This window comes from Homo sapiens, chromosome 1, assembly GCF_000001405.40.
Source record: "Homo sapiens chromosome 1, GRCh38.p14 Primary Assembly".
In the NCBI taxonomy this organism is placed as follows: Eukaryota; Metazoa; Chordata; class Mammalia; order Primates; family Hominidae; genus Homo; species Homo sapiens.
In genome coordinates this window covers 247,813,429-247,825,615 of record NC_000001.11, presented here as the reverse complement: position 1 = coordinate 247,825,615, position 12,187 = coordinate 247,813,429, and the positions used below count along the sequence as shown (strand labels likewise).

Genomic DNA, 12,187 nt, shown 5'->3' with positions numbered 1-12,187 from the left:
TCTGCCCGCCAGCACTTCCGCCCGCCAGCACTTCCGCCCGCCAGCACTTCCGCCGGCCAGCACTTCCGCCCGCCAGCACTTCCCCCGATCTCTTTCTCCTTTTTGCTTTACTCCTTTACTGCACCATTTCAGCCGTAAAGATGGCTGAGGTGTTCTAATGTCACTAGCAGTAACTTTATAAATAACCAGCTTTGTAAATATCTATATTTACATTCAAAGATCACTGCACACTCAAAGAGGCGGACTACCATGTCTGAGTTTCATTTAAAAAAAAAGATCATAAATTTGATTCCAAGTTACACAAGTATCTAAATGGCCAATGTTCAAATATGGTAGAGATATTTACATGTAAAAGTGTAAAGCATGTAATTAGAGACTCAGTAAAATTAGGAAGCTATAAGTGGCAATCAGGCATGGAAGCATGGTCAGACATCTTGGTTAAGAATTGAAGTCAGTTATATAAAGTTGAAATATTTAAAATTACAAATATCAAATTCAAAGGGACAACTACATAAAGAGATATGCAAATATGAAGGGATTACTAATGGACTTTATAAGAGATCTAGAAAATAATTGCCAAGCATATTGCTCAGAATTTTAGAAAAGTATATGCCATGTGAAAACAATTCCATCTGAAGCCTAGACTCAAGGTATATGCACATAAAATTCTTGTTCATTACAAAGGGAAAAAGCATGACTTCGAAGTGGAGAAATCTGGCAGACACCATCTTAACCAAGTGATTAAAGTTAGCACCGACAGTAATGGAACAAATTGACATCCTTGCCTTCTTATAACAATCTGATTCTAATTTTGAGGAAGTCACAGAAAATTTTAAATCGAGGGACATTCTACAAAGTACCTGACCTTCATTCTTCAGAATGTCAAACTCATGAACACACAGAGATTGATAAACTACTCCAGATTAATGGAGAATAAAAGGACATGACAGTTAAATGCAATGTGAGATTGTTGTACTGAATTTTAAATATGTAGATTTAGACATAGACAAAGATACAGATATAGAATAGATACAGATTTTAATGATGACATAATTATGATATAGGAGATAAGAAACTACATAAGCAGGGTATGGGAGTCCTTGATAAAGTTTCTCTTTTTAATGTAAAGCAGCCCTGAAATCATTTTCTAACAAAGAGCAGCCTATAAAATTGAGCTGCAGACATAGACAAGCAAGCTGGAAGCTTGTACAGGTGAATGCAGATGGGAGAAAGCTACCTGGGACCAGGCACGTTCAAAATGGTGGCTCCATCTTTGCTTCTGTTTGCCAGCCATGTGTACAGTAAAAAGCAAACAAGACGCCCTGGTCAAGTGTAAAGTCCATTTGCATAACAAGATTAAGGTGACGTAGCCAGCCTTCCCCCCGGCATTATGCAAATGTCACACCTGTGGGCCCTATGTAAATCAGACACCACTTCCCCAAGCCTGCCTATAAAATCCAGTGAACTCTGATGCTGGCTGGTCCCTCCTTTCGGAAGGCCCTGTTTCTTACTAGAGAGAGCTCTATTTTCTTTTCTCTTTCCTTTGCCTATTAAACCTCTGCTCCTGAACTCCTGGTGTGTGTCCGTGTCCTAAATCTTCTTTGTGGGAGACAGTGAATCCTGGATATTTACCCCAGACAGTGACACCACTTCAATTGTAAAGGTATTGTTGGAACGGTATTAAATTTTACAGCTTATCTGGATGATATACTGATACTTAGAACAATATGAATATTATTTTATTTATTTTTATATTTTTGCTTTAAATTCAATTCAATTTTATGATATTAATAACTTTAAATTCGAATTTTGGATTGGTGCTTAACTTTTGAGTGGGTGTCTCCTCCAATTCTGGATGCTTCCAAATAGGAAATACATATTTATCGTATCCTTCCCAGTAAAAAATAGTTGCATAGTATTTTTCCACTAATATTCATTCAGAATTGACAGTTTTGTGCTCTGATGTCCACTGCCTAAAAACATTTTTTCCCATATTATATTTATTTTCTGTATGCATGCTTGAAGACCTACTGCAGCACTTACGGTATTATTTAATTGTCATGCTAGATGTTGGGGTAACTATTTTATTTTATCATCTTTTGTCATAATATTTTAGAGGCAGGGTCTTGCTCTGTCACCCAGGCTGGAGTGTAGTGTCATGATCATGGCTCAGTGAGTGCAGCCTCAACCTCCTGGGCTCAAAGGATCCTCCCACCTCAGCCTCCTGAGTAGCAAGGATTACAGGTGTGCAGCACCATAACCAGATAATGTTTTTATTTTTTTATTTTGTAGAAATGGGGGTCTCTCCAGGTTGCTCAGGTTTGTCTCAAACTCATGGCCTCAAGTGATCCTTCCACCTTTGCCTCCCAAAACATTGGGATTACAGGCATGAGCCACTGTGTGCCTGGCTTATTTTATTTTAATATTATGACACAACTCTAGATCTTCACCTCAAAAGTTAAGAAATTACTCCAACTCCTGGTAAAAGTAGTGGAATGTAGGTTCTGCAGAAGTTGAAGCAGAGATAAGCCTCAGAGATATCAGGCACCCCACAAAGGGTAGTGGGAATAAGGAATACAAATCAATAGGGTCCTTTAGAGAATACAGACATTATATATTTTGAAACCCTTAATTTTATTTTACAAAATTCAAGTGACAGTCTTACATTCAGCTGGCCAAATATTTTATATGCTTCCCTTCTGGGGAAACTGAATTCTGGAAAAAATTTGTGTTTGAGATCCCTCAAAACCTCTGCATCTTTTCTTGATGAAGTTCAGCTATTGATAAGTTCAGTCTTTGCTCCTAGAATACCCAATAAGCTTCCTCACTCTTAATTATGAACTGAGAGCCTAGTCAGATTATTAGATGTTGTGTGAAATCTGTAATTTGAAAGATGTATTAGTAATTTTAAACCTATATTAGAGTTTTCAGATAAGCATAACCAATAGGATATATGAGAGGGGATTTATTCAGGGGAATTGGCTCACATAATCACAGAGGCAGAGAGGTCCCAGAAAGGCCAAGTGCGAGTTGGATGATCAGAGAATCTGGTATTATGATTCAGTTTGAAAGCCTCAGAACCAGGGAAACTGATGGTGCAGCCCTAAGTCCAAGGCCAAAAGCCCAAGAGCCCTTGGTGCAAGTCCCAGAGTCCAAAAGCTGAAGAATCTGGAGTCTGATGTCTGAGGGCCAGAGGAGGAGAGGCATCTCACTCCTGAAGACAGAGATAACAGAAAGAGAGAAAAAAAATCCCCCTTCTGCCTACTGTTAGTTTTCGCCAGCATCCCCACCCTCCCCCCCCGCCACACACACACACCCCAGCCCCATTAAGGGCATTAAGGGCAGGCCTTCCTCTCTCAGTACATGGACTCACATGTTAATCTCCTCTGGAAACACCCTCACAGACACATCCAGAAACAAAGCTTCACCAGCCACCTAAGCCTCTGTTAATCCAGTCAAGTTTGACACCTAAAATTAACTACCACAGTATGGAAAATACAAAACTATTAAGATAATAATAGCAACAAATTTGTTTACAACATAAAAAACATAAATTGTGATATAAGAGACTTAAAATGAGAGGAGTAATAGAGTTTTTAAATTTAATGTGGATAAAGTTAAATTGTTAACACCTTAAAATAGCCTGTTATAAGTATAAAACATTTTAAGTTATTATCATACTAACCAAAAAAGCCAAAACCTATAGTAGACACAAAAAGGATAAAAAGTAAGGAATCAAGGCACACCACTAGAGAAAATCTAATCACAAAGGAAGACAGCAAAAGGTGAAGAAAGGAACAAAGAATCTATTTTAAAAACACACAAAAGAACTCCAGAAAATATTTAACAAAATGGCAGCAGTAAGTACTACCCAGTTTATCAACTGCAAATGAATTAAATGTTCCAATCAAAAGACATAAAGTGGGTGCATAGATAATATACCTTGCCTTCAAGTGAGTCACATCATCATAAAGGACACATGTAGATTGAAAGTATAAGGATGACAGGATATTCCATCCAAATGGGTATCAAACAGAGCAGAGGTAGCTATACTTACATAAGATAGACTTTAAGTCAAAACTGTAAAAATAGACAAAGAAAGTTATTATATAGTGATAAAGGGGTTAATCAATCAAGAAGATATAACAATTGCAAATATATATGAATGTAACATCAGCATACCAAATATATAAAGCAAATACTTTATCTGAAAAGAGAGATAGTGATAAAGTAATAGTAGGGGATTTCAATACTCCACATTCAACTATGAACTGATGTATTAGTAATCATCCAGCAGTCAATCAACAAGGATTGGACTTGAACTACACTTTAGACCAGATGGACCTAACAGACACATCCCAAACATTCCATCCAATAGCAGCAGAAGATATGTTCCTCTCAAGTGCACATAAAACATTATTCAGCATAGACCAAATGTTAGGCCACAATGTGATTTTTAACAAGTTTAAGATGAATGAAATCATATCAAGTATCTTTTCTGACTACATGGTATGAAACTAGATAACAATAATAGTGGAATTTCAGAAAACTTCACAAATATGTTGAAATTAACATGCTTATAAACAACTAATGGTTCAAAGAAGAAATTAAAAAGGAAATGAAAAAACATGTTGATTCAAACAAGCATGAAAACACAACATATTGACACTTATGAGATGCAGTCATGCAGTTCTAATAAGAAAATTTACAGCACCAATGCCTACATGAAAAATAAAGATTTTTTTTTTTTTTTTTGAGACGGTGCTTTACTCTTGTTGCTTAGGCTGAAGTGCAATGGCACTATCTTGGCTCACTGCAACCTCCGCCTCCCAAGTTCAAGTGATTCTCCTGCCTCAGCCTCCCCAGTAGCTGGGATTACGGGCATGCACCACCACGCTTGGGTAATTGTTTTTGGGGTTTTTTTTTGTATTTAGTAGAGATGGGGTTTCACCATATTAGTCAGGCTGGACTCGAACTCCTGACCTCAAGTGATCCACACACCTCGGCCTCCCAAAGTGCTGGGATTACAGGTGTGCACGACCGTGCCGGGCCCAAGAAAGATCTTAATAAAACCTAACATTATGCTCAAGAACCTAGAGAAAAAAGAGCAAACTAAGCCAAAAATTAGTAGGAGAAAGGAAATAACAAAGAAAAAAGCAGAGAAAAATAAAAATGAAGTCCAGAAAGACAATAGAAAATAGCAACAAAACTAAGTCCCCTTTTTAAAAATCATAAACAATAACAGCAACAACAAAAACACCCAGTCACTGGTGGCTTCATGGGTAAATTCTATCAAATCTTTAAAGAATAACTAATGCCAGTTCTCCCTTACACATTTCAAAAATATTGAAGATGAAGGAACACTTCTAAAATCATGTTATGAGGCCAGTATTACTCTGATACTGAATCCTGACAAGGATACTGCAAGAAAAGAAAAATTACAGGCCCGTGTTCCAGATAAACACAGATGCAAAAATCTTCAATGAAATACTAGCAAATCAAATTCAACAGCACATTAAAAAGATCATTCATCATAATAAATCTGGATTTTTCCTTCAGATGCAAGTGGGTTTAGAATATGCAAATCAATAACTGTGATCTACTACATTAACAGAATGAAGGACCAAACCATAGAATATTTCAATAGATTCTGAAAAGGCATTTAATACAATTCCTTTCATAATGAAAATTCTAAACAAATTAGGTACAGAATCATAAAGCCATAAATCACAAGCCCACTGCTAACATCATTTGCAAGAATGAAAAGTTTAAACATTTCCTCTAAGATCAGGAACAAGACAAGGATGGACACTCTCAATACTTTTATTCAACAGGGCATTTTATGCACAGCATGAGGACCATAACAAATAATATTTTATCGTAAACTAAAAAATTGCTGAGAGCAGATTTTAGGTGTTCTTACTAAATACACACAAAAGGCAATTATGTGAGGTGATGGATATGTTAGATTGCCTGACTGTATTATTATTTCACTATCTACATTCATATCAAAACATATTATACACTTTAAATATATACAATAAAATAAATAGATAATAAGACAAAAAGTTCAAGTCGGATCATTCTACTCCTCTACTCAAAACCATCCAGATTTTTCTCTCACTCACAGTAAACAAACTACTTCCCATGACCTGCAGTGTCTGCCTGATCCTGCTCTCCATTTTTTCTGTAACACATCTCCTAGTCTTTTTTTTTTAAATCTGCTCCCCTGGGGCTGTGCTAAACTCTGAACCTCACCTGTTATACCCCCACCTGTGTTCTTCATGATATTACTCGCATCGCAATCTCCTGGGATAGCTCTTTCCTCTGCTCCTCACACACCCTCTCTCTAAGCACAACATGGAGAAGCTGGTGTTTTGAGAAAGTGACTTCCCACACACCTTTGGAATTTGACTCACTGCATTGTTTTCACTGAAGTTTGCCAACAGAAAGATCTGGCCTTTAGTAAGCACTCTATAAATGAATAAAGAAGCATTGAAAACAAGCCTCAGAAGACATCTGGAATCTTCGTGCGCCAGATTGGAGGTATAGAGTAAGTCATTTTTTAAAAGAAAACTCATTATATTTTTTATTTTTAAAAATTTTTTATTTTTAACTTTTGTGGGTACATAGAGATGTGTATATTTATGGGGTACCTGTGATGTTTTGATTCAGATATAAGATGTGTAAAAATTATATTAGGGTAATTGGGGCATTCATCACCTCAAGCATTTATAATTTGTGTTAGGAACATTCCAATTCCATTCTCTTATTTTTAATTATACAATAAATTACTGTTGATTGTAGTCACCTCGTTGTGTATCAAATACTAAATCTTATTCACATTTTAAATGATATTTTTGCACCCATTAACTATTGCTACTTTCCTCCAAACTCCTTACTACCCTCTCAGTCTCTGGGAAACACCATTCTACTCTCTATCTTCATGAATTCAATTGCTTTGATTTTTAGCTCCCAATTAGAGTGAGAACATGCAAAATTTGTCCTTCTGAGCCTGGCTTATTTTACTTAACATAATGCCCTCTAGTTCTATCCATGTTGTTGCAAATGACAGGATTTCATTTGTTTTTGTGGGTAAATAATACTCCATTGTGCATATGCACAACATTTTTAAAATCTACTCATCTGTTAGCTATTCTGAACAGTGAATAAAAATGCAAGTGCAAATACCTCTCTGATATACTGATTTCCTTTCATTCAGTTATATACCTAGCAATGGGATTGCTGGATCATATGGTAGTTTTATTTTTAGTTTATGGAGGCACCTCCATACTGTTGTCCATAGTGGCTGTTCTAATTTACATTCCCTCCAACAGTGTACAATTCCCTTTTCTCTACATCCTCCCCAGCATTTGTTATTGCCTGTCTTTTGGATAAAATCCATTTTAATTGGGGTAAGATCATTATATCATTATAGTTTTTACTTGCATTTCTCTGATGATAAAAATCACATTTCATATTTTAAAAATTTTGGGGTTAAAATTTGTCTGGATTTGGGAACAATTAAAATTCTTATTTTACAAATAATAGAAACTAATAAAACCTAAAGATATATTTTTTCTCTGATGCTCAAATTATTCAAAGTAGCAGTATTAGCTTTTCCTGTGAGTGAACTTCACACACAGAAATGGGATAAAATACTACTTTTTATCTTTTTAATTTTAAGTATTCCACAATAGGATTATAATTTTTAATACTTTTGGCACATTATAGTATCTTCGTTGAGGAGTATGTATTATGAATATCAGATGTTGTAACTCTTAGTGATATATTTTTGGATTTACCACACTAAGCTGAAAGTGTATTAAATGTTAAATGAAATCACAAAATTAATGAGAGGTAACTAGAAATAAATGAAACAAGAAACTTAAGACTAATCTTAAAAAAAAAATGTGAAGTACTTCTTAAAAAGGCATGCTATACTTTCCAGCTTCTAAACGATTATGAAGAAAGCTCAGTCAGACAGAATCATCAATACCACTGTCTTTGAGTCAATTTTCCCTTACCATTTTGTTTCCCTCATACTAGAAGAAAGAGACACGTATGGACATCTGTCTTAGTAATCATATGCTTTTTTACTCAACCACTCGGGGACTATTAGTGATGCTGTAAGATGAAGTCACAATATTTTAACAAGAACAGCCACAGAGATTAATCAAATCGAACATCATTAAAATGATTTTTTAAAAACCACTCAAAATATTTTTACTTCTTTTTCTGGAATAAATCCTAACATTTATTTTTAACTGTTCATTCAAATGTCTGGGTTTTTTTTCTAACAGATTAAAATTAGTTTATATCACTTCTCTCCTAAATTCAGCAAACAACATTTACACTGTGATTTTTCTTTATCTATCACTCCTGAGAGAGAACAGGCACAATATTTAAAAGAAAGAACCAAAGAAGAGAGTGCAGGAGGAAAATTGTCAAGTACAGTTTTAATATTTTACTAAATTTACATTAAGGTCAATGTATACAATCTGTAGAATTAGAAAGCCCCCACATGTCACTGCAATACGAATGAATAACCACAGTTTTCCATCAGAGTAAGACCATCTGAATTTTGTTCAAATTATGTGGCGATCCTTCTCCCCTGCCCCATAATTTGCAATACTTTTTTGGAAGGGATAGAGGGGAACAGAGAAAGCAGTGGACATAAAAACATTAAGATTGTGATATGCAAGGTCACGCATTGTCGTTGTACAACTTGGCTATGATGAAAGAGAAAAAAGCTTGAAAGAGAAAACATAGTTTAACTTATTAAATATGAGAAAAAAGTCAAAGTGGCAGATGGGGGATTAAAAAAGAAAAGTGAGTAATTCAGTTAATATAAGGCTAACAAAATATTTATTTATTTGTTTGTTTTGAGACAGAGCCTCGCTCTGTTGCCCAGGCAGGAGTTCAATAGTGTGATCTCGGCTCACTGCAGCCTCCGCCTCCCAGGTTCAAGTGATTCACCCTGCCTCAGCCTCCCAAGTAGCAGGGATTATAGGTGCCCGCCACCACACCCAGCTAATTTTTTGTATTTTTAGCAGAGATGGGGTCTCGCCATGTTGTCCTGGCTGGTCTTGAACTCCTGACGTCAGGCGATCCACCTGCCTGGGCCTCTCAAAGTGCTGGGATTACAGGCGTGAGCCACCGCACCCGGCCAGCTCATATATTATAGGATCTGTTGCCTACAGTAACCATGTGTGTGTCCTATGAAACTATAGGCACAAGATTGCAAATTATGGTGTTAAAAAAGCACCATTAGTTCAATCTCTTATTAAAATTTCAAATGTGAGAATACCTGCAAACAAAGTTTTTTAGAGAGTAAGTAGGTTAAAGACTTTGTAGAATAGCTTGAGGGAGGTCTGTAATAGTTAAGTTTTGTTTTTAGAATTGTTAATTGTTCAAATTCTTGGAAGGTGTGTTGAAACTGAGGTCCTGTTAGTCATGGGACAAGATGTAGGAAGAGCAAGACTATGGTACAATGTAGTAGCCATTGGTTTGTTGGTTTGAGTTTTCAAGAGAGATGGGCAGGAAAACTTTGTTTTTAAGTTTTGATAACATCCGTAGAAAATTTTTAATCTTTCAGTATATTTCATAAGATATATTTGGATAATATTATAACTGCATTTATGTGAACTAAATTGCCTCAATAACATGAAATTAATCAGGAAATGCTTGGTGATCAATGCACTAAAAAAGAACTAGATGAAAGTATTTTTTGTGGCAAATTGGCATGGAATTACCATACGTGTGGTACGTGTGTGTGTTTCAGTATGCTAAATAATATATGTGTTATATATATTTAATATTTAAAGAGTGGACATTGATATTTTACTTCAGTCTTCTCCTTTTCCTGCAGATTACTCCTGCAATAATGGCAAATCTCACAATCGTGACTGAATTTATCCTTATGGGGTTTTCTACCAATAAAAATATGTGCATTTTGCATTCGATTCTCTTCTTGTTGATTTATTTGTGTGCCCTGATGGGGAATGTCCTCATTATCATGATCACAACTTTGGACCATCATCTCCACACCCCCGTGTATTTCTTCTTGAAGAATCTATCTTTCTTGGATCTCTGCCTTATTTCAGTCACGGCTCCCAAATCTATCGCCAATTCTTTGATACACAACAACTCCATTTCATTCCTTGGCTGTGTTTCCCAGGTCTTTTTGTTGCTTTCTTCAGCATCTGCAGAGCTGCTCCTCCTCACGGTGATGTCCTTTGACCGCTATACTGCTATATGTCACCCTCTGCACTATGATGTCATCATGGACAGGAGCACCTGTGTCCAAAGAGCCACTGTGTCTTGGCTGTATGGGGGTCTGATTGCTGTGATGCACACAGCTGGCACCTTCTCCTTATCCTACTGTGGGTCCAACATGGTCCATCAGTTCTTCTGTGACATTCCCCAGTTATTAGCTATTTCTTGCTCAGAAAATTTAATAAGAGAAATTGCACTCATCCTTATTAATGTAGTTTTGGATTTCTGCTGTTTTATTGTCATCATCATTACCTATGTCCACGTCTTCTCTACAGTCAAGAAGATCCCTTCCACAGAAGGCCAGTCAAAAGCCTACTCTATTTGCCTTCCACACTTGCTGGTTGTGTTATTTCTTTCCACTGGATTCATTGCTTATCTGAAGCCAGCTTCAGAGTCTCCTTCTATTTTGGATGCTGTAATTTCTGTGTTCTACACTATGCTGCCCCCAACCTTTAATCCCATTATATACAGTTTGAGAAACAAGGCCATAAAGGTGGCTCTGGGGATGTTGATAAAGGGAAAGCTCACCAAAAAGTAAAAGCTGTTGCTTTTCTTCTTTCAATAATAGATACCATTTATAATGTACACACATTAATTCTTCATTTTTATCTCTAATTCTTAAAAGTAAAAATTTAAAAAGACAAATGAAAGCAATTATTTTATTAGAAAATTTCCTTGGGCAATTAATTACATTTTTCTATTCTTAAGTAAAATTCTGAATTTTTACAATATGGAGCCATTTCCCAAACCCCTTCTTGGGTGGTGTACATAAGCTGATTTCTAGTTATCTTTAATATGATGTAAGAAAGAATGTTTGTTTAGAACTTACTATCTCACTTAAAAACTCTTATTGAAGAAGCAGCAGCAGTAATACAAAACCCAAACCTCTACTCTCTTATGACCTAATCAATCTGAACAAAAAAGTCTTATAGAATTCTTTGACAAATTATCCATATTTATTCCTTGTATTGACTTGACTATTTAAATGTCACTGAGAAGAATAAAATGAAAAAAGTGGTCTTACTCAAAAATTAATTTGAATGGGACGTTTTCTTTTCTTCTATATGGTCATTTTGCATTTTTGGTAAAAGGTCAAATAGAAAATGCATATTAATTGAATTTTGCCAGAGAAAGATATCAGCACTCAAAGAAATAAAGGAACTGTCATTGAAGGCAGATGTCAAAATAATTATTAATTTGTATTGATGTTTTATTAACCCTAACATGGCTTTCCTAATGCTCTAGTTACAAAACAAATCAGTATATAAATAGTTTTAAAAGGTTCCCATGTATACATTTTAAATGTGTATATTTAAATACATATTTAAATATATATATATATTATATATAGGCTTTGACTATTTTAGATATTCATTTTAATTATAGTTATTTTGAGGTTTCCCCTTAGTCTTTATTATGGTATTTGGAAGCCCAGTATTAGATTTTCTGCTAGATGGACTTCCTTCTAGTTATCTCATACATTGCTCAATCTTTCTTCTACTAATAGATATTTTTTCTTCTATCATGTAATCTATTAAGTGAAATAAACTTGGAAGAATATGTGAATTATTTTTCTCTGCAGCATCTGTACTACAAATTTCCAGTTTCTTAAATTACTCTTTGTGAAATGTAGAGCTGTGTACTGACAATGGTATTTTTCTCAGGCAAGTCTTTGGAGCACATAATTATGTCTTCAAATATTTCATAATATATTAGGTCTATGAAAATATTTAAAATTATGTGTGTGTGTGTATGTCTATGTGTATGTTTTCAACAAAGACTGAGTCCATTCAATTTTTATAATTATATTTGTATATTAACTGCATGGGGTGCTTTTTTCAATAAAAATGTGACACAGGGATTGCTTCCATTTATTATTTGTTCAGCATGCAGAGAAATGTGCTAATTT

The 12,187-nt window shown here is 35.3% G+C and overlaps 1 protein-coding gene across 1 annotated transcript, besides 1 other annotated feature; it reads left to right on the top strand.

The window, feature by feature from the left end:
- Positions 203-403: a silencer, noted in NCBI's record as "peak836 fragment used in MPRA reporter construct". NCBI's record gives its function as "represses an SCP1 promoter by STARR-seq MPRAs in K562 erythroleukemia cells {active_cell/tissue: K562}" and the evidence as "EXISTENCE:reporter gene assay evidence [ECO:0000049][PMID:32103011]".
- OR14A16 (olfactory receptor family 14 subfamily A member 16) lies at positions 1,497-10,956 on the top strand. The gene is made up of 3 exons (NM_001001966.2): positions 1,497-1,663; positions 6,439-6,553; positions 9,872-10,956. The coding sequence occupies exon 3, from the start codon at positions 9,887-9,889 to the stop codon at positions 10,814-10,816; it is 930 nt and encodes a 309-aa protein (NP_001001966.1). The 5' UTR covers positions 1,497-1,663; positions 6,439-6,553; positions 9,872-9,886; the 3' UTR covers positions 10,817-10,956.

Bases quoted from the DNA above. Each gene is read 5' to 3' on its own strand.
- OR14A16 (NM_001001966.2), top strand. From the start codon at position 9,887: ATGGCAAATCTCACAATCGTGACTGAATTTATCCTTATGGGGTTTTCT.